The sequence below is a fragment of the Homo sapiens genome, chromosome 15, assembly GCF_000001405.40.
Source record: "Homo sapiens chromosome 15, GRCh38.p14 Primary Assembly".
NCBI lineage: Eukaryota > Metazoa > Chordata > Mammalia > Primates > Hominidae > Homo > Homo sapiens.
In genome coordinates this window covers 96,091,588-96,117,112 of record NC_000015.10, presented here as the reverse complement: position 1 = coordinate 96,117,112, position 25,525 = coordinate 96,091,588, and the positions used below count along the sequence as shown (strand labels likewise).

Here is a 25,525-nt window from a genome sequence, read left to right as displayed (position 1 = left end):
TAATGCACCCAAGAATTTTGTTTTTTTATTTAACTTAGTGAGAAAATATAACTTAATATATAGCAATTCACTTAGATTGATATAGAAGTAATTAACACCACATTCTTATTAATAGATTTCTACATATTTGCAATGACTAATAACTAAAAATGTAAAAAATAAGGAAGTTACATTATAGGCTTCCGAAAAATATGCCTTTCCACATGTGGGATTTCAAGAAAAAAATATCAGCACAAAAGTATGTATTAGAATGCTTGGAATAGTCAACCAAAATTTCACACAATATAAACAAGACAAATCGGTACAATTAATAATAGAGGACTGGATGTTCTGCTGTAAGTTTTTGATACATATTAAGTATTTCTCAATTTTTGGTACATATTAAATTTCCTCAGGGTGTTTGTTAGTAATATGGATTTTGGGAACCACCCTGAGAGAGATTCTGACCCAGAAGGTTTGAGGTGGAGCCCAGGTATTATTTGCAAGCATTGCAGTCCATTCTTTTTTTTTTTTTTTTGAGACGGCATTTCCCCATGTCACCCTGGCTGGAGGTGCAGTGGCACAATCTCCGCTCACTGCAACCTCCACCTCCCGGGTTTCAGTGATTCTCCTGCTTCAGCCTCCTGAGTAGCTGGGACTACAAGTGCTTACCAGCTAATTTTTTGTATTTTTAAGTAGAGATGGGGTTTCACCATGTTGGCCCAGCTGGTCTTGAACTCCTGACCTCAAGTGATTCACTCCTCTCAGCCTCCCAAAATGCTAGGATTACAGGTGTGAACTTCTAATTACATCTTGAGAAACTGGTCTAGGATAATTCAGATGAATTTTTTTTTTTTTTTTTTTGCTTTCCCATATTTTAGATGTAACCAAAGTGGTGCACTCAATGTTTAAGTACAAAGAAGGATGAAGAGGTAGAAATTTGAGGCAGCTTTTCAACCTGTTTCTGTCACTTTGTTTTCCATCTTTGTTGCATGCTTTAAACAAATACACCAGTTGTCTTAATTGAGCCTTCCGGAGCATATCCCCATTCCACATGTGCCCGTGAATCTGTGGCCACATGTACACATAATGATTTGGAGTTCCATTTCTTAGAAAAAATGAAGATTGACCCCGATTCTTTAAGTGCTGGGAGTATTACCATAATAAATGGTATCACTGCATGATAAGAGCAAATGTGTGATTTTAGTCAACATATTTTCTACATGACTAATGAGAGACTTGCAGCTTGGATACACAGCAGTGTCTAGAGTCAGTGGCTAAGCCGTGGTAGGTCTCTATGAAGTGGGGAAATATTTCTGACCAACCCCAGGGAGATGTTTGCAGTGTGGAGTGGAAGCTGCCCTGCTGTGGTTTAGCACTGCAAAAACTCTCCCTTACATATGCAATTTGCATATTCCTTTATATACTGAAAGGCCACCTGAACATAGGTGGTCAAAAGACCTTTTTTCTACCTTCCTTCTTCTGTTCTTTCCATTGGATCTTTGATTCTGAGAAGTCTGCCCCATAGAAAGGAGGAGGCTTAACTCTAGGAATGCTTCCTGTTCTCCTTCTCTTTCGTCTTTCTTCTCACTCCCAGCCCTGAAGGCATCACAGAGGCATCAGTGATGCTTTTTTTTCCTCCTCCACTCCAGTCTGCTCCGCAGAACCCCATGTCCTCAGATAAAATGCCACCAAAAAGTCTGAAGGTGCTTTGCAATGGAAATGGATTATTGAAGACACAAAGACCCGTAGTAAATTTTACAGTTTATACTTCTGTGATGTTGTTATTCTTAAAATTGACAAGAAAAATCAGGAAATTTACATAACTCCTGTGAGTTTCTAGGACAAATGAGTTTATGACTATAAAACACCTTGTAATCTAATCTACAGAACTGTAGGTAAATATAATTGGGCACTATGATTGTTGTTGTCATCGTCTTTCTTGTGAAGAGTGATAATCCTGAGAAAATCAAAAGCTAGCTCTGTGCCAAGTTCAAGTTGAAAGAGCAAGAGAAAGCCAGCTGGGCGGCTGCAGTTCACTTTATGGTGGGCCCCAGGAAGCTGAGGCATCCAGTCACCCAGCTGCTGATCGGCTGAGTTAGGAATCAGACTCCTAGCTTTTGTTCCAGAATCAAGACATGCCCCTTGAGGCTCAGCCATAAGAGCTTCACTTTGACCCTCAGAGCCCTGCTCTTTGCCTGGATGGTTCACCTTTGTGGACACTGTCCCAGCCAGCCAGCCTCTTCCCATTGTTCCTTCCCTAGCCCCTGCCCTGCCCTGATTGGTGAAGTTGCTGCCAGGGACCAGGAGGCCACCCTCCCAATTGTTTATTATAAACAGGGGGAGAAAAGTGGGGAAGGAAAAGTGCCAGAGGAGAATCTCATATCTAGCTGCCCAAGCCAATCCACTGAACACCCATTACATATGCTGGCTAAGCGTCCATTGATCTTTCCCATTAGAACAATGATAGTCTCCAAGTATATATGGGTTACAGGTTTTGGAACACAGTGAAAGTGGATAATGGTTTTTATGGGAAAATGCATTCTGAGATGGAAATCACCAACTTAGTAACAAACATTTAGGACTTAATGCTGTCCACAAATTGAGGACTACCTTTCATTTATGCAGCAGTTACAATTCCATAGCCAGAAGTGCTGACATTCCATTAAAGAAGAGCAAGAAGCGATGGGGAAAACACCCTGAAAACTACAATAATCTTTGATGCCAAGAGAGAGGAGCAGCAAACATTATAAGAATAACATACAGCAAACTTTGCCAAATAATGGGGAGTTCCTCACACATGAAGCTTGCTTCCTGAGAAACAACAGATCCACTTAAAGACTACTCTTAGGAATATTTTCTTTGGCTTTGTCAAACATTTTGGACTTTTCTGCAACCATGTCCCAATAAATGTACCTCATTAAAAATATAAAACTAGCTGGGCACAGTGGCTCATGCCTGTAATCCCAGCACTTTGGGATGCTGAAGTGAGAGGATCCCATGATCCCAGGAGTTTAAGACCAGCCTGGGCAACATACAGAAAGCCAGTCTCTACCAGAAAAACAAAACAAAACAAAAAAACAGCGAGGCATGTTGGCACATGGCAAATGCCTATGGTTCCAGCTACTCAGGAGGAAAAAAATTTTTTTTGAAGTATGTATTCAAATGATATGTATTGCTTTATTATTGTTATATAGTGATACATAATCAGTGAAGAAATAATTAAAACAATAAAATGATTAAGAAGAAAATATAGGCCAGGTGCAGTGGCTCATGTGTGCAATCCAAGCACATTGGAAGGCCGAGACGGGAAGTTCAGTTGAGCATCAGAGTTTGAGACCAGCCTGGGCAACAAAGTGAGACGCTGTCTCAAAAAGAAAAAAAAAGAAGAAAATGAAAGAAAAAGAAAAAAAAAAGAAAAATTAGCCAGGCACGGTATGGTGGCACACACTTGTAGACTCATAGTTCTCCCAACTACTGGGAAGGCTGAGGTGGGAGGTTGACTTGAGCCCGGGAGTTTGAGGATGCAGTGAGCTATGGTCGTGCTACTGCACTCCCGCCTGGGTGACAGAGTGAGAATCACTCTCCAAGAGGAAAAAAAAAAAAAAGACAAGAGAAGAAAAGGAAATATGACCTAAATACATTTAATGACCTCTTTTAACCTTTTAGAGATCATGCGTAAACACACCACACATATATTTTAATGAAATATTCAGTCATATTGAAATATGGTAGTATAGTCTGCTTTTTAACTTAAATATAGTACAGATCTCTTTCCATGTCGTGTATAGTATAACAATTAAGGTGAATATGTTTAGTATTTCATTTTATGGCTGACTATATTTTATTTCACTAATCCACATTTGACAATCAGATGATTGTAATATTTTCACAACTTTATATTCTCATAATTCAGTTGTTGTACTAAGGCATATTTATCTTTTTTGTATATGAAATTTATCAGATACTTCAATTGTTTTAAGCAAGCTTTATGAGATTACTTTTCTAGGTCTACTGGTGTCTGTGGTTTCTAAGATCACGTTGCCTGTATTTCTAGACAAATCAGATAATGTGATTTCAGAACACCTGATTATTTCAGTCAATTGAAAGAAACAACTGGTCAACCCAGTGCATAATATTATCTTTTTTTTCCCCTCATAAGTAAGAGACACATAAAATTCTTAGGCTAGTTTACAGTCTCATACTAGTTTATATGAGACAGAAAGTGCCGACTGACGGAAGACCCAAGCTGACAGCAAGCTTTCGTTTCTCAGATGCCTTATGAAAAGAACCCCTTATGTTAATTTTCTCAGTTAAGTCCTACAGTTCTCCGTTAATTTCTCAATGAAATCCAGAGGACTAAGTTAACTGACCCTTTAGCTACCCCCGGTAATGAATCGTTAGCTACAATGTTAATAGAGACAGAAGGAAATATGGTATTGCCTATAGTACAGGAGAAATAAAAATTTGGTGAATGCCATTGAAAACAAAATTGTATTTCAGGACCTATTCTATTTTATAGAATCCTTCTTCAGCAACAACAAACTAAGGGAACTGCATATTAGAACTACTGGTCACTATTTAGCTAAATTAGCATCCAAATGTGCTAAAATATTTACTCTTCAGCCATCTGGGCCAACATTTTCAAGATATGATATGGGCCATCATTTTCAAGATTGATATTGATAAAGAAATGGTGAATGGGGATTAGGAAAGGTGAAGTGAAAAACTTATTATAATCCAAGATTGTGAATAAATGTTTATAGATGAGAAGGACAGTTTGACATAGACCTCATCTGATGAGATGTGAATCTATACATAGCACAGATCTGTTTATATTCACATGAAGGAAGAAAAAAAGCTGGCATAGCACCAGCTGTTAAATTTGTAGCCATCATTATTTTCACATTAACACCTGTTGAATCAGAGATACTGGCACCTGTTGATTTTGCCTGTGCATCTATTTAGCGCTATATTCTTAAATGTGAATACAGTAGGGGAAGAGCCATATTAATGAATCATGATATATATAAAATAATGAACAGTTATCCGTCTAGAGGTTTCCAAGAAATAAATAAATAAAACAACTTGAGGACCTCTGTGTTCTTAAATGTGAACACAATAGGGTAAGAGGCATATTAACGGATCATGATATATATAAAATAATGAAAAGTTGTCCCTCTAGAGGGTTCTAATAAATAATAAAACAACATGAGGACCTCAGAACAACATTAGGATGAATATTTTGGGAAGTTCTGATCAAACCAAGCAGCAGTGCCTGAGCACATTCTGACATCTGGACCCCGGGGTCTGTATCCAGCACGATGGATACTGAGCAGTACTTCTGGGTGTGATTTCTTGGCCATGTAGGCTATTGTAAAGAGAAAGTATTTCATTTAAAAAGGTCTGTATGGTGTTTTTGTATTTAAAGTGCAAAAATTTTAGATAACTTAGCTTGATTTTTGGCTTTGATAGGAGTTTGTGGGGGCTGTTCATTATTGAAATCTATACTTAAGAATTTAGGACATTCTATTTATTATGTGTTTCCAAAGCTAAAACGTTTATTATTTGAGATGATTACTCACAATATTTGCAAAACCATAAAAATGAGAATACCATCAAATATAGGTTACTTTTGAATAAAGAACTTGGAAGTAACGACGTTTCTATTTAAAAAATCATCTCCTGCACTTTCTGTTTCCTCATTAAAAATAGTAATATGAAACTTCAGATGAAAATGCTTTGGACTATCTCTGACTTAAGGAGAGATGCAAAGAAAGAAATTTTAGTTTTCAAATAGTTACTTCTTTCCCCTCTCAGTCAGGCACTATCAGAATGTTTGGTACCACATTAATTCTAGGAGACAGAAAACATAATGGCCATATAGTCTTTTGACAATCAAAAGTATTTTATCTGAGGTGGTGTGTAAAATACTTCTAAGTAATTATGAAAGATTTCCTAGTTATAGGACAAGAAATGAAACCTGTTTCATCCATCTTGAGATAATCGGCTTCACACTAAGAGGTTTTCTCCTTGCCTCCTCTTCCCTGTTTGCTTCCGATGCATCCCAGAAGCTTCAGCAAGCTTTGCAGCATTGGTGTAGCAGACGCTTATGAAAACACAGGTTGCTGCGTCCAGTCCCAGAATCTGAATTGGCAGGCTTGGGGTGGCCTGAGAATCTGCATTTCTAACTAGTGCTCAGGTGATACTGATGCTGCCAGTCCTGCGACCACACTTTGAGAACCACTGATGTAGGGTCAGTTATATATATATTTTTATTAAATGCTTTATTTCATTGAAAGCTATATGTAGCAACCTCATAGTTTTAAAATTAAGTTGATAGAGCAGAAAGAAGAAATGATGGTTGCTCACTTTGGTACCCATTTTACTAGTGAAGTTGCAAATCTCCAATCTATGTCACTCCTGATAAGTGATTTTATACAAATTGGGCCATTCCCTTGAGTGCCTCACTTGGAAAAATGTCATGTGTGACAAGAAAGCTTCAAAAAACATCAGGCGGAGGGGGTCCTGTTTAAGAAATTACAGGACAGATACATAATAAGTACCTAATGATTTGCTGAATGAGTACACAAAAGAATCAATTATATCCTTTTAAGTTTATATATTATAGTTACCATTTTCAACACCAAGTTCATTTTGAGAAGAAAATTGGGAAGAAAATTATTTTATGCACATAATTCTCTCCCTTACCTATCCTGTTCTATCTTATTCTTATCTAAGATCTCCGTGGGTCTTTTTATCCTTAAGAAGTTTTGGAGGCAAGGAAGAGCAGAAATCACTCTCCGCATTGGATAGATGAAGAAAGGAGCCTCAGAGAAGAGATTCAGAGGTTCTCCTAAGGCCACTAACTAATAAATGATGACATGAGAGTAAACTGAAGACTTGCAGTGCCAGGGTTGGTGTGGTCCTCCCTGATGGGGGCCTTGACCTGTGAGGCCAAGGACAACAAAGGAACAGCTGTCTCCTTGCCATGGAAGTGGCCCAGTAACCAGAAGGACTCAACTGTCAGGGCTGCAAGAACTTCCCAAGGACCCAGCTCTCTGCTGGAGCTGCAATCAAGAAATTGAAACACCTGTGGAGCCCCACCTCGCTGAAGAACCAGCACACCTGTCGACCACTGTCTTTCCACCTGCAGATCCAGGAAGAAAACCAAAGCAAGGAGTAGGGAGAGGCTGTCCTCGGAGAGGCTGTTCTAGGACTGTGCTGCTCCCCTGGGTGCGCAGCCCCTGTGTCTTCCTCCTTGCGTTACCACTTTCCCTGCCCATGAACTGAAGGCTCTCTCCTCCCTCTCCCTCTCTGCATCTTAAAGCTGAGCCCACTAACATAAAGCCTGGACAACTTGATCTGCAGTGAAATCTTGAAGACAAAGTCTGGCCTCCTCATTAGAATCCACATGTTATTGAGCCTTACCCACTGGTGCTGGCCCTGGCACAGAGAAGGCAACTTAATACGTTAATACAACTTAATAAACTTGTAGAATGAATGAATATTGTCTGGAAGACACACCAAGTCAAGGGTCGTTTGACATCTAATGTTCAAAAACTATTTTGTGCACCTACCATTTAGTGGGTACTATCCTATTTATTTAGGACATGCTGGTGAAGCAAACGGATTCATTCTCTGCCCTTGATATATTTTAGCAGGGAATACAAACAAGTAGTTGCCATGCATGTGATGGTATGAGATCCAACAGATGAAAAGCTCTTACCACCTCCAGGCTCTGTGTTGCACAGAAGCACAGCCTACACTAGAGTCTTCAGTTCCAGCTGACTTTGCAATCTGGACTTTCCAACGTCTAGTGTGAGCTAAGATTTGGCTGCCTTTCCCCACTTCCTGCCCCATGTAGCAGGCCTCTTTTGGCCCTGGGTATGGAGTATTCCTACCTCTTGGCATAATTCCAGTCTTATGTAGTGACACCTGCATCGGTGAGTGGCTGTAGCAACTATCTAGGCCTGTCTAGAAATTAAAGCTCTAACTCTAAACTTTGAAAGTCAGGCAAGCAACAGCAGCCCTTCCCTTTCAGGCACCTACCAGCCATCCTGCTGAAGATAACCTGGATTTGCATCTTCTGGATGGGATAGAAGCTGTGACTAATACTGAGCCATCTAGGGCAGCAGCCCCCAACCTTTTTGACACCAGGAACTGGTTTCGTGGAAGACAATTTTTCCACGGACTTGGGGTGAGGGGGATGGTTTCAGGATGATTCAAGCACATTACATTTATTGTGCACTTTATTCTATTATTGTTACATTGTAATATGTAATGAAATACTTATTCAACTCACCATAATGTAGAATCAGTGAATCAGTAGGAGCCCTGAGCTTGTTCTCCTGCAACCAGACGGTCCCATCTGGGGGTGATGGGAGACAGTGACAGATCATCAGACATTAGGTTCTCATGAGGTGTGTGCAACCTAGATCTCTCACATGCACAGTTCTCAATAGAGTTCGTGCTCCTATGAGAATCTGATGCTGCTGCTGATGTGGCAGGAGGTGAAACTCAGGTGGTAACGTGAGCAATGGGGAGTAGCTGTAAATACAGATGAAGCTTCGCTCACTCACCTAGCACTTGCCTCCTGCTGTGAAGCCCAGTTTGTAACAGGCCACAGCCATGGACTAACTAAAATTATCCCTAAGTGAAGGTGAGGATTTCAAAGGCCAATACAATGTGTTGAATGCGGAAGCACTGCAGGGTCTGGATGCTCAAATAATTGTTCTTTTTCTCAATTTTGGAAAGAAAGTTGTCAATCTAAAAAGAGCGGTGTTGAAGAACCTGCTCATTAGATTAGCCATGCTTGGCTAAAGGGGAATGTTATAGTACTTTCTTTTTTTTCTTGAGTAAAATCACACTCTGGAAATGGTTGAGTTGCAGAAACATCTGGGGGCACTTTATGACGTTAATAAGAAGTTTGGCCCTTGATGCAAGGTTAATTTATTTGGGATGAAACCATAGCTAGTTCAACTTCCTATCATGCTCTCCAGAAAAACCCATGGCCTGGAATCCTCCAGGCAAAGCTCATTTACATTTTTTATCTCCCTATAGTCAATTCTGAAATTCCAGTGGTCATGTTCAGACATAACTTACTAGAAGAGTCATTTCATTCAGAAACGTCTTAATTTTAAATGACATCTTGAGTCTCCAAATCTGTGCTATGGAGACTTCTTTATTTTGAGGTGCTCATTCTGGTTGAGTATATTTAGTGTTTAAGAAAGCAATTCAAAAGTTAAAAACTATGTTTGTTTGTTTTTTTTCATTGAGTCCCTCTGTCTGGACAAGGAAGACTCCTTCTAATACCCTTTCTGGTGCTGCAGACTTTCAATTTCTACTTACAGTGTTTGTGGATGGCAATGGAAAATGTATTTCCTGCTGAGCCTGAACTGGAAATAAAATTTTGGAGAACTTTGGGAAAAACTGGCAAAGATTCCACCAAGGTGCACATCCAAGGGGGCTCAAATAGTTGCAGATATCCCCTTGGTATGGGGGTGAGTTGCATGGTAGGAGGAGCTCCACTTGGGGAGCTGATGGACCTGTGTTTAGAGTCCCACTCCACCATAATTCATTGTGTGATTAGCCCCTCCACAAAAAAGGGGGGATTATATGGTGTTCCTGCTTGTTGAGTGAAGATTAGAGTCTGTGAAGGGCTTAGCACAGAGCCTGGCCCATCGCAAAGACTGGATACATGGAAGTGCTTATTGTTACCATTCTCTGTAGACAAACTCCAGGATAGATTTGACCTGATTCACCTGGGGTTATTCTAATTTCTGTGTTGAGGAACGAGGTGCCCTGTAGAACTCATGGTTGAAGTAAGTGCTTACACTATACTGACCGGTTCACCATGCTAGGTCACTGGGTGAAATGCACTTGGAAAGTCAAGTGCTCCGTAGAATTCTAGATGGTTGGGGGAGGTTTGGGGAGGAACTAACTAGAAAGCGAGATCTTACAAGTAACAAAATACCCCAGAGAAGTAAAGGCTAGATCTAAAATCAAAGATACATTCTTTCATTCAGTAAATATTTAATTACTTAACATGTGGTGGACCCTGCGGGGGATATGTGGATAGTAGATGCAAAAGCTACCGTCTTTACTAACACTATTCTTTCCTTATCTGCAACTGGGCTCAGCTAATTTAGAATCTTCCATTTCTTTTCAGTAGCTAGAACGTGGGTATGATGGTCAATTTTTGAAACCCATTTAATGTTGTCCTAGAGCTAACTCAGCTAGCTGCGTCTGCTTTATTCGGGCGTGTCTAATTCACTTTCTGTGTGCAGGGGATGCCTTGGGCACATTGTCCAGATGCATGGGACTGGACACCACAGAAGTCTTGCTTCACCTAATCTTTGAGTGAAAGTGTCGGTCCTTATTGCATGTATTGCAGAAGTGTCTCTGGGGTAAAGAATTCTCCTTCCAGCACTGTTAATGCACAGTTAAGACACTGACCCTGAGGTCTGGCTGTGAGCTTATTCAATCCCCAACTTGGAAAGTCAAAGCATCATCTTGAACTTGGTATGTAGGAAATATTTGTTGTTACTAATAGATATGGAGAACACTATAATGGATTTGAGATGTCCATGAGATATTTAGGTGTGCATGCCTGACAGCCTTCTAAAATGTGGGCCTGTAGCTCTAGAGAAAAGCTAGAGATGAGGGATGAACAGGTGGGAAGTCATCTGTTCAGTGGTAGTATCTAAAACCACGAGACTAGGAGAGATCACCAGTGGAGTGTCAGGTGGCTAGCAGATGGGGTAATTACTGGCCAGGCTCCACAGTAGAGACTTAGCTCCCATGTGTAGGGTCACCCCTCCCCTGAATCTGCAATTCTATCTCTTGTCAAGGAGGAATGGAAGCAATTTTCTGTGTACTGCCTTTTTGCCTCCTCTTCTTCTTGGTGAAGTAGTTTGCTGGAGTTCCAGTAATTAATTCCCATTTTTGTCTATTCGTGTCTGATACTCTTCTCCATATGGAGTGGCAGGTGACTGGGGAAGTGCTCAGTAGTGACCTGGGAACTCGAGTGACCACACAACACAGTATCTTTGGTGCCGGAGAGCACATACTAGTTTAGTATCTAAATGAGACTTTGGAGTCAGATATAGATGAACAGTTCAGCTTCAATATACAAGTCTATACAAGACAAGATGGTGGAAGAAGAGCAAAGTGCAAACCCAAGGGGGCCCAGAACTGTGGAACCTGTAGTTGAGAGGTTGAGCTCGGGGGAGAAGTGAGCTCCCTGGAGATGGTTCTTCATGTACATTCTTTGATTGCTTGGAATCACCCTGAGACAGACGTTCTTGCTGAAGTTCTAGCCTAATTCTCAACCCAATCCCCTACTTCTTTGACTTCCCTACCATATCTCACTTTCCTCCAGAGATTGTGATTGTAAAACTCTGGTCCCCGTGGCGATTTTCTGCCCCTTACTTTCCAGACCTTCCTGGAAATTACTGCCTGCCAGTTTAGGCTTTGACCTTGGCCTGTGCTCCTCGCTCATGGACCCTGCTTAGTTTCATCTGTTGCATTTCCATTGTCAAGGCCTTACCCAGGCCTAGTCTCTGTTTCTGGGACATCTTCTGGAATGGCACTCCTGGCACTGTGAGTATACCGCATCTTCTAGTGCTTGCTGTATGAATGTAAACTCCATCTTCCACTTCGCGTTTGGAGGTTCCTGTCAGCCAAGGGCCCTTATCTTTGTTGAGAACTCTGTGTGTGCTCCATGTCTCAAATGCCTGCAAAGTAGAATTGTAGTTCTTATTTTGTAGGCTACAAAAGAAGGCTCAGAGAAGTTCAGGAGCTTGCGCAAAGTCACAGAACAGAAAGTGGTGGGTGCTAGGATTAACTGTCAGATTGGTTTGGTTCCAAAGCCCATTCTCTTTCCATAACTATGGGTGGCTTTCAAGGAGGTATGAGGAAGTAAGAAAGGTAAGAAAGACAGTGGCCAGGAAGAGTAGACCAGGAGCCTAAGATCTTTACAGTGACACAGTTTGTGAGTAACTAACTTCAGGGAGGTGGGCTTGTTAATAAACAGAGTGGAGAAACTGGTCACAAGTACAGAAGGGATTCGAGGGACTCCCTTCTGTCAGCATGAAGCTTATCATAATTAACAAACTCTGCTCTTCCAGATTTAAAATCAAGATGAAATTAATGTTTCCCTTAGAAATGCGTGCTGTGGTCCAGGCACGGTGGCTCATGCCTATAATCCCAGCACTATGGGAGGCTGAGGCGGCTGGATCACAAGGTCAGCAGTTCAAGACCATACTGGCCAACATGGTGAAACCCCATCTCTACTAAAAGTACAAAAATTAGCTTGGTGTGGTGGTGCATGCCTATAATCCCAGCTACTTGGGAGGGTGAGGGATGAGAGTCACTTGAACCCAAGAGGTGGAGGTTGCAGTGAGCTGAGATTGTGCCACTGCACTTCAGCCTGGTGACAGAACAAGACTCTGTCAAAAAAAAAAAAAAAAAGAAAAAGAAAAGAAAGAAAGAAAAAAAGAGAAGTGGATGCTGTGCTGGAATGAGGAATATTGAATTCACTTGGCTTTGGGATACAGTCTTGTTACATCCGGGTCCTGGAGGCACACATGCTATGTATATTTGTAACAGATTCACACACATGATTGGGCCAGTAATCTTGACCACAACCTCCAGGAAGTATGAACTTAACATCTGTAAGAAAAGCACAAATGTTGCTTCTCTGGTTAGCTATGACTAGTAATGGCTCCACTTTGCTAGAAGTTCCTGATGTAACACATCTTAATCCAAAATACGCCTCCCCCCTACCCCCAGTATATGGAGAATAGCTAACATTCTTCCTTTTCCTCTTAGAAGGTGGATTAGTACCACCTGTCTCAGCTAACGTTCATGGGATTCAGCAGGAAAAACAGTATTATGAGGGGAAAGCTTCTTTGAATGCAGTATTTTAGGATTATTTCTTTGGTTGCTAAACTGCTACCTTTGTATTGAAAGGTGATGAGACATTTTCTGGCTGAGAGACAGAGATATCCTAGAAAGGTGTCAAGTTAAAAGAGGGCCGATGAAAGGACTTGAGCCACAGCCATCGGAGGAGGGTAAGCGATTGATTGCAGGCATTGCTTACATTTTCTTCCCACTGCTACAGTTGAGGGAAGGATTGTGGTCATCACCTTGCTGCCCCATCCCACCCCTTCTTCTGTGGAAGGTATTACCATGGGCCATCATTCCAACTGGATCGTTGCCATCCACCAAGGCTGCTCAATGATTTTCTCTGTATAGGGAAAAGGTGGAAGTTACAGTGCCTCAAGTTTCAAAGAGCTGTCTCCTTTGAACTAGGAGTCTCCTTTGAGCCGGAGTCCTGCAGCTCGCTCTTGGCTTTGGCATTCAACGGGGATGGTATCATGGGCTGGGCATTTAACCTTTTGCTGTCTGCATTTCCCCCGTTCTTAAAATGGAGGTAATTTAATTCTCTTGCAGGAGAGTTGGGAAGATTAATGAGTCAATGTTTGGTGAAGTGCTTTGAGATTCTCAGATGAAAGGTGCTACATAATAATTACAATAACACTTTGTTCTTACATAGTGCCTTTCTTCTAGGGAGCTCAAACTGCTTTATAAAATTATTTCATTAATACTCGCAGCATCCCTCTATGGCAGGTAGTAATTATATCCCCCCATTCTCATATCAGCAATCTGGGGCACAGAGAGGCAAACTGACCTGGCCAAGGTTACACAGTAGGTCACTGATAAAATCATCAGTTGAATTCAGATCTGATTCATTCATTTGTTTGTTCCCTCATCCACCAATATTTACCCATGATTATATGTCTGACACTTGAGCTATTGGATAAAAGAGGATGTGATACAAAGTTAAATGAAATACACTCTCTTTGAAGAGATTTAGTCCGGTTGAACATGTGCATAAATCATTATAATAAAATATAGCAATCATATAATACAATGGGTTGATAGAAACAAACATGCATCTAAAGTAGGCGAAAAGAAACAAGAAATCTTAGTTTTACTAAAGAGATATCATATGAGTGAACTTTCTCTTGAGCAATGAGTTCACAAATAGAGAAAAAGAAGTTGAAGAAACTTGCCTCCGATTAGAGAAGGAAGGACCGTGATAAATGTAGGGAGTGAGATCCACTTGGCATAGTGGGAGCAAAGGGTTTTTTAGACGGGGGAGTAGGCTAAGAAATTTGAACTTTATGCACAAGGCGATTGAGAAGCATTGGAGCTTGTTCAAGTAGAAGGAATGAGGTCAGCATTATATTTAAACCATTAGCTCTGGTAGCCGAATAGTAGCAGGTTTGGATGTGGAAGAGACGTGAGACCAGAAACCAGGAAGACAGGTCTCTGACTCAAAGTCCAGACCAGTCACTGAGTGATTCTTCTCAACAGTTTTATGAGCTGGAGCTCCAGTGTTGTTTTGAAATTCTGCATGTGGCACTTCGTGAAAACAGTGACAACAATGGTCTTTCATGGATAGTCCATTTTCTCAATTCAAGAAGCATACAAATTAAAAAAAAATATCTATAATTCAGCTTTTCAGTGATGGTACAGTGAGCAATTGTCATTCTTCTGCCCTGAAATCCATCAGGCAAAATGGTTGAGTCTACATCAATTACTTATTATAATAGAAAGTAAGCCTTTGTTATATTATTTGTTAAGTATCTCTCCACATTAGATACGTGAGAATGATCTTCAATGCAAAAGTATTCATTTTTATTTCACGTGATAAACTAGTCTGTGATTAGACATATTTATTTTTATTTCTTACCCATGATTGTAACTATGGAGTCCATTTTAAGAATGATTTCTTGATCACTTGTATTTTTTTTCTTGTCAAAATCTCTGTTAAGTGTCTGACAGAGAAAATATTCAAATCACTTTGCCTACATTAGAGGTTCTCAAAATGTTTTTCAGGTATGGATGGCTGCAAGCCCACAGGCCACCTGTTGAAGAGGTAGGTGCACTTGGTCCTCAGAATGACAGCTACTCAGTACCAGATCTCTTTGTCTTCATTATTCATGGATAATAATGAGCTGGGAAAAGTCACAATATTCTATGAAATAAATCCTGACACATGGCTGGTTAAGCTATTCTGCACCTTGTGGACATACAGTAAATGCATCTTGATTACCTGGCAATGAACTCATTTAGCCGTTTTTTTTTTTTAGCCACAGTTGCTTTATAAAGAGTACATTATCTTTGTCATTGAGTTTGCTGAGTGAATCAGTTAGGATAGGCAAGATTGTGCTACAGTAATAAACATCCCTAAGTATCAGTGACTAACAAGAAAGGTCTAATTCTGGCTCATGCAAAGTTCATTGTAGATCTGAATGTCTCTCCAGCATGCTATCTTATAGGTGGTTGATCTGAAATTCACCTTCCTATCAATATGCACTTTAGTGATTGCCAAAGCAGTAAAAGAGGGAATTCAAACAATGGCAGTTAAAAGCTTCTGAGAAGTTCCACTCCTCATTTCTATGCACATTTCATTGACTAAAGCAAGTCACTTTTTTATTATTATTATTTTTAATATTGAGTCTCGATCTGTCATGCAGGCTGGAGAGCAGTGGTGTGATCTCAGCTCACTACAACCTCCCCCTCCTCGGTTCAAGTGATTCTCCTGCCTCAGCCTCCCAAGTAGCTGGGACTACAGGTGTGTGCCACCATGCCTGTCTAATTTTTTTGTATTTTTAGTAGAAATTGGGTTTCACCATGTTGGCCAGGCTGGTCTCGAACTCTTGACCTCAGCTGATCTGCCTGCCTCAGCCTCCCAAAGTGCTGGGATTTACAGGCATGAGCCACTGTGCCCAGCTGCAAGTCACATTATCATGCCTAATTTCAAGGAGACAAAGAATTACAATCCTCCCATGTGCCCTCAAGAGGGGAACAATATATTTGCCATGAGTCTTTTCTGCTGCTCTTTGAAAGTTACTATTTTGTTCTTTGAAAAACATCACATATTTCCATTTACAAAACTTGTATTTTAATATTTGAAAATCAAGTAATTTATTCTTGATGGCGTTCCTGGAAGATGTACTGGTATTATTAATCCTACTGCTTAAATATAGCCTACAATATGAAACTGTTTATTGGTTAGTATCTCTCACCTAATAGCAAGCTTTTTAATGGTGAGAAGGGGTAGGAAATAGGACTGATATTTTTTTCTGCATTCCCATCACCTAGAAGAAGGGCTGACATGGAGCAGGCATTAAACATTTTCCCACATATTGTGGCATTAGCAATTTTTACTTCATATACATTTGGAAGAAGACATAGACAGGTAAGCTGAACTGACTTTCCTCTAGGGAGAAAAAATTCTATTTTATCACAGGAGAAAATATTTCACAATAATTTCTATAGTTGGACTTCTGATGTGTTTTCTAATTATACCTTAAGAAAAGCTAAAGTATCTAAGAAAACAAAATAACTTTTGGAAACATTTTCCTAACTTTGGAAAGAGTTTTGCTTGGGGTAGAGTGAAGTTCACTGGGCCTGACATGGTGGGGAGATTACATGGAAATCCTACCTTGTAAATGAACTCAGGTAACCAACGAAAGGGAATGCTAGACTTCCTGTGAAGTGTATTCTAACCCAGTTTCTTAGGGATCATTAACAGAGCTGTTTTTCAGTATGTACTTAGGCATCTTCAGTCCATAAAAAAGCTATACTAGAGGCCGGGGGCAGTGGCTCACGCCTGTAATCCCAGCACTTTGGGAGGCCAAGGCGGGCGGATCACGAGGTCAGGAATTCGAGACCAGCCTGGCCAACATAGTGAAACCCCATCTCTACTAAAAATGCAAAAAAAATAATTAGCCAGGCATGGTGGCACAGCTGAGGCAGGAGAATTGTTTGAACCTCAGAGGTGGAGGTTGTGGTAAGCCGAGATTGTGCCACTGCACTCCAGCCTGGGCAACAGAGCAAGACTCCGTCTCAAAAAAAAAAAAAAAAGCTATACTATAAGAAAATTCTTTAGCTTTAGCCCACTTGTCTTCTTGAATTTTATTCGCATATTTCTAGTAATTCCTTCTAGTATACTTAAAATACTTCTTCCTCATTGGCAAAAGCATCCTTTGTAGGTTTCCAGCATGTTCACCCCTATTAGTTGCTATCCTTACTTGGGGTCTATAATCTTTCCTTTGTGCCCTTTGTGTGCCATGACTTTCTGGTCACCCACTGATATATTCGAATCATTCTGACACAGAGAGCATTAACCCTACTGTTGTGTGGTGTTGGTTTGAGGTTCTTTGTGTAAAGCATGAATAAAGCTGATTTTTCTACTACTTTAGAACATCAATATCGTAGATTCATTGGATCTACTTGTATCTGCATTTTCGATCGTCTGCTACTAAAGTCTTGCTGTTTAAAAGGAGCTGCTGTTGGCCGGGCGTGATGCCTCACGCCTGTAATCCCAGCACTTTGGGAGGCCGAGGTGGGTGGATCACGAGGTCAGGAGTTTGAGACCAGCCTGGCCAACATGGTGAAACCCCGTCTCTACTAAAAATATAAAAATTAGCTGGGCATGGTGGCAGGTGCCTGTAATCCCAGCTACTCAGGAAGCTGAGGCAGGAGAATCATTTGAACCCGGGAGGTGGAGGTTGCAGTGAGCCAAGATCACACCATTGCACTCCAGCCTGGGTGACAGAGCAAGACTCCGTCAAAAAAAAAAAAAAAAAAAAAAGACGGTTTTCTTCCACTGACTTCATTCTTTATTCTGATAATACTTTAAATTAGGGAAGAATAGATTATTTGCAACTAGAGGCTACTGTGGTGGGTTCCTTGGTAGGTCAACAGGTTCCTTCTTGGTCTATCTGAGACTTTAGGGAATTTTCATTCTTTACTTATTTTCCTGGATCCTGAAAGGAGGTAAGGGGTCATGGCAGGAATTAGAAAACAAGTGAAAGCCACTTTTTATTAAGTAGGCACTAAATATAGAGGGGTGAAATCAAAGATTCCAGGGATGCTATGCTTGCACACCAGGTCTGCCATTCTAGCCCCGTGCTTTGTGTATGTCATAGTGTGTAGTTCAACGAAGACCAGTCCTTTGAAGAACTCACAGGGTAAAAGGCAGGAGCTCTAAAATGCAAGGCGTTTTCTTGTTTAAAGTTTCTGGTCAATATGCCTGAGTATCTAAGGGATGGCCAAGGGTATTGGCATAGGAGTAGAAGTGGAGGAGGTAAAAGAAGATGGAATGGTTTCAAGAAGTTATAGGCAGTCAGGGGACTCCTACCTGAATCCCAGAAGGTTGTCAGATGTTGCCTTAAGGGCATTTTATTTTAGTTATAGGTTTGGAAGAGTCATTTTAGCGTTGTTTCAACTTTTCTGGGGGGTGTGAGGAATAGGGAGACATGGGGAAATAGAAAAAGCTAAGGAATCAGAGCTTCACTGTTTTTTCTTTTTATTTTTTTTAAAGACACATTTTTCTCTTTTTCCAAATTAATGTATATTTGAAAACTTTGGCTTCTGGGTGGATCCCTCTGGATCTTGTCTAATGAGCATCCATGTATTTGAAGTGGTATCAGCATGCACACACCTTATGCTCTGCCTTTTGTTTTACTGCATGCTAGTTCATATATTCTGCATGTCAATATTGTTCAGTACTAGTCATTTTTAATAGCTATCTGTGTTGTGGCTAGTTAAGCTACTACATTTGAGTTGTCCTGTGCCTAAATTTTTACAGTTGATGATCTTTCTGATTTTAAAGATTGTATAAACTTACATAATGTAATGTAAAGTGTTTGCGTTGGTGTCTAAATTAGATGCTGGCTAAGGGTTGCCCTCTTTTCTTTCCTTTTGGTTCCCAATTGGATGCAGCCCCCAAACTTTGAGATTTCTGACTCCCAGCGCTCATCTCCAAAACCATCAATCCCAAGAAGGTGATTTTCATATAATAATTTTCTGCTCATAGTTTTAACCTCTTTTGGTGCGTTTCTATTATTTCTTTGTCCTTACTGGTGGTTACACCAGCTCCCAGTTTAATATCATTTGCACATTTCATTAATATGTGGCTTACTCTCTCTTTGAGATCCTTAATAAAGATGTTAAATTAGATTGTATCTGACATTGACCCCTGGGGCACTGCAATACTTTAACGATATCCCGTTTTCCTGTCTACAGTCTATAGAGTTCTTGCAGAATGTGCAAGGAGCAGCTTCAACCTGGGATAAATCTTCAATTTTAATTCTAAAGCAGAAGTCAAGTCATGTGGTTGGGGATAACTTGACATTGCCAGAACATACTTGTAGCTGCTAGGAAGTCATATTTTAGCAATTAAGTACAGGTTTGCCAGAATTCTATGTCAGATTGCCAATCTGCTGACAATTACAAGAGATAGTCTCTCTGTCCTGCTTACTGTATTTCAGTCAAACTGAGAAGGGTCTTGTCTTAAAAAAAAAAAATGAAACTAGGCTTTTTTATTTTAAGGCTTGCAATCACCTTTCACCAGGTTTTAAACAGCAGGCTTCTTCTGTGTTTCAAAGCAGATTTGTTAAAGGAATGGTTGTACCAATTCACCAACGTAGGCAGAATTCAGGGAAGCACACCAAGTGCCCCACTGAGAGTCCAGACGTGAAAGCCACTTTCAAATTTCAAGAATTTACAGCAAGTTCTTTTTTCAAATTGGAAACATTTATTTTTTTCTAAATAGCAAAGGTATAATACCCTATGATATTTTTGGCACAGAATTTAACTGTCTCATCATATTTGATTTAATCAGAGAAATCTATATATTTATATCAGATGCAAAATTTTTTCAAGTGAATTGAAGAATAATATCTTAAAAAATTAGGTTGCATTATCAAGTAAACTACAATGTCTATGAAATGCAATTGACTATGGTTAAATGAAATGTATTCTTTAATCATATACCTGTAAAGTCTTCTAAGTCCCTCCAAATTATCAACTATCTTAAACGTCACATGTTAGACATTCTCATCAATTTCTCTTGTTCTGCCTTAAAGTAAACTTCGTTAGCTTTGCAAAGATTTTGATCTCATCTTGGACATACATATTAAGACAATTCCTTAGATTTTAACAGAAAGAGAATGATTAAAGGAACACATATAACCAGAACTTGAAACTGGCCCAGTAAATACAATTTTTTTTTTTGGAACTGTAAGCATGACTAAAAGTGCATTTTGGCATCAAACGCAGAAGGTTGTGTACGTTCTACAAGGTGATGGAGGAAAGACGCGCATGTGGGGGTCCTCCCTTCCAAAGGGTTTTTTCACATGTGTATGATTCATTGTGTCTTGGAAAATACAGTTTCACCCAACTGGTTCCTTGTATTTGGGAACCTGAATTCTGAAGCACCCGAGTGAAATTCTCAATGTCGCCTCTACTCTCTCATTGCCCTACCCAACTCCACGAAGAATGACTGACCCCACCCACTTTAAGAAGTAAACAATGATTTGGGCAGTTCAGCCAAGAAACCAAAACAGATTAATCTCTGTGTGTAATGAAATGTTTAAATTAGTAGTGTTCGATTGGGTTGAGATTTGGTGGTAGAATTTAGATAGTTCCCTCAATTCCTGGCTTCTATTTTGGGTGAACAATAGGATATCAGAACATTATGTTATACTCTCCTGACCTCAAGGATCTAATAGTTTAACGGGCAAGATAAGGGTTGTGTAAGGAGGAGTTAGAATCAGATGAGATGATGCACAGTTTGATGCAAAAGCAAAACAGAGAAGGAGGCAATCAGTGTGAGAGGAGTTACTATTTCCGAGGCCTGGCCTTTGGCGCTCGGGTCTCCTCCTCTTATACCCTTTTGCTGCTTTGAAATCTGTTTATTTGTCTAGCGTCTTTTCCCTTGAGCTTTGAGTTCTTTTATCCAACTGCCTACTAAACAATGCCACCTTAAAACCCAGGAAGCCCACAGGGCCAACCTGGTGGTGGACCTTTCTCTTTTACTCTGTGCCGTGCTTAACACACTTCCTGGAGTAATCCAGCTTCAGTGTGGTATACTCAAACCAGTCGTCCTGCAAACGTAGCTGTAGATGTTCTGGCTTCCGTATACTGCTGAATCTTTAGCCAATTAATTTTGCCAAAGCACTTTTGATGAAGTTTGTAATACAAGGTAGACATTGACAGCTGTTCTAGAACCACTCCAAGCATCATCATGCTCTGTTGATCTCACTCATTCCACCTCGCAAAAATGAGATGTTCCTGCTGTAACTTCTTCATTCTTCCTTCTCTGCAAGAACAAATGCCAGGCCCAAATGTTTCCTTCTTGTTTCTAGAGGTGGAGAAACACTTTGTACACCAAGTCCTGGGGAAACAATGAGTAGATCTAGCCTCTTACCCAGCATATGGGTCAGAGAATGGGAAGAACCAAAGCGAGAGCAGCAGAGAGAAGCCTTCTTCTATTTTCCTATAAACCATGGCTGACTTTCTTCCTTCAAGTGGTGTTTGCTCACTTGTCATAACTGAGCAGACTATCATAAGCCGTATTTTTCTCAGATCTCCTGTTTATACTACTTCAATGCTAGAATAGGTACTTGTAGTTAAGGTTTGGTATATAATAAGTTATTTTATGTGGGGAGTATAATGTGGTTCTAATAGTCTATTTAGCCTGCTTTTTAGAATGGATAGTGTTGCTACTATTTAAATGTTATTCTAGTCCTTGAGCCAAAATGCTTATTAAAGTATGCAAACATAACTTATCCAGAGAATTCCTTAGACAACCAATAGACACACATTGAAGAGAAAAACATTGTTAAATTACTATTTTCTTAAGTTTTTTGGTTCACAACCTACCTAACTAACATCTTTCAGCTTGGAATTAGAATGAAATGCAAAGTGTGGCATTGATTTTGAATGCGTGCTGTGGCGGACAGAGACCCATGATAGAAATAGAATAGAATTCTGCACACACATATGAATGCACCCCAAGCATATGGGCATGTGGATGTATCAACCACTCTCCTGCACGTCTCTCCTTTGGCAAGGAACTGAATCTTGGCATCTTAGTTTCTACAGTTGTTTAATGGGCTTTATTGCACTTGATTTGTCTACCTCATAGAGTTTCTTTGTTAATCATCTATAAAAAATGCAAGTCAGGCCAGGCCGGTGGCTCACGCCTGTAATCCCAGCACATTGGGTGGCCGAGGAGAGTGGATCACCTGAGATCGGGAGTTTGAGACCAGCCTGACCAACATGGAGAAACCCCGTCTCTACTAAAAATACAAAAAAATTAGCCGGGCTTGGTGGCGCATGCCTGTAATCCCAGCTACTCGGGAGGCTGAGGCAGGAGAATTGCTTGAACCCAGGAGGTCGAGGTTGCAGTGAGCCGAGATCGTGCCAATGCGCTCCAGCCTGGGCAACAAGAGTGAAACTCCGTCTCAAAAAAAAAAAGGCAAGTCAGGTTGTGTCACTCTCCTTTGTTGAAGCTTTCCCTGAATCTTTTTTGTGGCTTTCTGTGAGTCTTTGAACAAACAAACATATCCTTACGATGACTTCAGGGCAGCACATGATCTGGCCCTGTTTCTCTCACTAGCCTCCTCCTTAATAACTCCTCTTGGTAATGACTTCTTTTTAGCCCCCACTGGCTTTCTTTTAAAACCTTGAATTCACCTTAGCATACCTTTCTGAGAGAGGCCTTCTGACACCTGACATCCGGAGCTAGGTTCCAATCCTCTGTCGTGCTGGGTCCACACCCCTACCATTCTGCACTAGGTTTGGTCTTGTCTGACATATGTTTGAAGAGCCCCTGAATGCCTCCTTCACCAGACTCATCTCAGTCGTGAGCAACTTAATTCTTTATCTGATTAGATGGTATTAGATTAAGACTGATCTTTTCTTCAGACTCTCATCCCCATCAGGGAAGGGCTGAGCTCTGACTTGTTGACACAGCCCTCCAGAACCCAGTAGACTACCAGACATGGAACATTTCGTAGGTGAATGAAGGAAGAGAATAAGATGATGCCAGTGATACCCAGTGTAAAACGGCAAACACCACTTACATGTAAAATATTAATTTCATGTGTTTGAACTGATCAATCACAGAAGCAAACACATATATGCCATTTTTGTAAACACTTTTACAAGTAGAGATTAACCCGTGGGCCAGCAGGAAGACTCTCTCAGGCAAGAGGTTAAGGAATTGTAGCACAATTCCCCATGGTTTTGGAATTTGATGTCTTTTTAACGGAAGTGCCTCAGTGTTCTATTTCCAAGGAAACTCATCAATCATAAGTGCCAGAAATGAAACATTTATTAACAAAAAAGAAATTCAGGTAATATGTATATTTGCTATTTCAGTCGTCGTGTTTCTTATTTCGAGGACAAATGCCTTCTCCAACTCTGTATTAACATTTTAAAATAATATTCATTTGCATTTTACTTCTTGATAGCACTTAACATCTGAAGGATTAGGAAGGAATTGTTCTAGCTGATAAGTATTGAATTAAACTTGGAGAAACATTTTTTATCTGATGACCTTCATCATGGTGAATCTGTTTAGGTTTTAGTGCAAATCAAATTTTTCAAAGTACTCTAGAGAGAGGTAAGAAGATAGGGTTTTTATCTCTGTAATAAATTTTGGATTTTAAAGACTTGTTTAAGACTTATTTGGCATAAGTCAGTTTAAAACTCAGTCTTTACATTTTCTTTAAAAAGGAATATTCAGTAAACCATTATGATTCTGAAGCAGAATAAAATTTGTTTAAATTCATAGATGAAAGTTGGTTTTGTAAGACTGTAGTTTTCTTTCTGAAAACATCCATTATAGGGCTATCTCATTGGAAAATTGAATTAAAAACAACCTTTCCCATTATATCTAAACATACACATAAAGTTGTTTGTTTGCACAGCATGACAATGGAAAAATAAAATGAAGCATTCTGAGCTAAATGTTTGGAGGTGATATCACTCTTTGAGAATTTACAGCTCAAGTTTAGGGCTGTTCTACAGGAAAGCCATGTGTTTTACAGACAAGACCATTTTTTTCCTTAATAGGTGGTCAGTTTCTGCAACAAGTAAACCAGAACGATTTTAGAGGTAAACAGAGAAGATAAGAAAGAGGGTGTCCATGTATTTTTTTTTCCTTCCGTAAAGTTCAGATCATGCATCATCTCTAATGAGCTTGATAAAGCATAGCAAGGCAAATGTGCCATAATTCATCATGTTTTCCATTTCAAAAGTGACAGGCAACCTACAGGAAAAAAAGTCTTTATTTTGTAACAATAAAAAAAGGAGGTGAGATAATCACATTTGAAATAACATCTGCAAAGGAACTCTTAAAGTCCACATCGAATATGAAAAATTGTCTTATATTGGGGTTTGTTTGGTTGACATGATGCCAAAAATTACCATGAGTGCCTGTAAGCAAAATGTTTGCTTTTAGTATTTAATCCAAATCTAGTAGAAAAAATTTAAAAATCTTTAAAAATTTTGACAGAGAATGTGCTCTTATTGTGAGAAATGGCAATACTTGGACTTGTTAGAAAGTTTCCATTAGCTTTCACTCAATAATGTTAAACATTACAGCACAAAATGTCAAAAGGTTTAGATCAAATTTATTCTGCAAAAAACCATAATGTGCTTATAGTAATTTTCTGAATGTTTGCCTATTTCTAAAAATGGCTCAACAAAATAGCATCTCAAAAATGCATCTCTTTTTGGTCCAACCATTTTCTTTGGAAATCAATCACATTTTCTTATACCATGGACCTGAGTATCTTAGACCTCACACAGAGACAAGAAGAGTTGGGAACCAACTCAATATATAGGATATAATCACATCTTTAATGCCTCAAGTCATTCTGCCTTATCTGCAAGTAAGTGAGGGAGGATGGAACATGGTTTGGTCACTGTAAGAAAAATAAAAGCTACTATCAAAAAGAAACGTTAATTTTTTGCAGTGTCTCAGAACTACAAACACACATTTAATCACAAAATATGTCACTTTTTCTAATAACTCAAGAAGTCAATTTGTCTTTACTAAGAATTTTAAGCATCATGTTTATTTAAAGTTCTAATCTGTGAAGTAATGAAGAAATAACAGGAATGGTATGTGGGATAGTAACTTTTTCTGTTTAGAATATAAGAAGTGTATTTACACAAAGACTTAAAATATAGAAACACATTTGGTTCTAAATAATTACAATTAATGAAGACCCTGAATCTTCATATTGAGGTACCGAGGTCAAAGGCTCTGCGGTTAAGTTGGAAGCTGTTCTTTATAACTTTCTTTGCACATTAGAACGCATAATATTTGGTAGATTTAGAGAAAAAAGTCTGGTGGGACTTAGAATCACTGAGTTTATATAGTATGACTAGATGTATACTTGCAGAGCAAATTCCATCATTGTTATATCCTTATGTATAAAACAATATCTTTTATATGTAACAATATATTTTATTTTATACTTATGAATATTAAATATTCTGTTTAATAACATTCCAGTTATAACAGCTCAATTTACTTGCCACTGAGTTATTAATATGCCACGGCATAGCAAACTTTTTTTTCTTTGGGTACTCAAGAGCTTCTTTTTATTATTGTCTTTGAGCTTTTTAACAGAAGAGAAAGAAAAAATATGATTATTGGCCA

General features: G+C 39.6%; 2 long non-coding RNA genes across 2 annotated transcripts in view; one reads left to right on the top strand and one right to left on the bottom strand.

Moving 5' to 3' along the window:
• LOC112268156 (uncharacterized) overlaps positions 1–25,525 on the bottom strand; it is a 236,909-nt gene that overhangs the window by 110,231 nt on the left and 101,153 nt on the right. The gene's annotated exons all lie outside the window — the stretch shown is intronic.
• The window catches only part of LOC105369212 (uncharacterized), a 45,790-nt gene that overhangs the window by 10,729 nt on the left and 9,536 nt on the right, over positions 1–25,525 (top strand). Inside the window, exons 5-6 of the long non-coding RNA NR_158193.1 lie at positions 12,955–13,055; positions 14,890–14,929. This is a non-coding gene — a long non-coding RNA (uncharacterized LOC105369212). The remainder of the gene's footprint in view (positions 1–12,954; positions 13,056–14,889; positions 14,930–25,525) is intronic.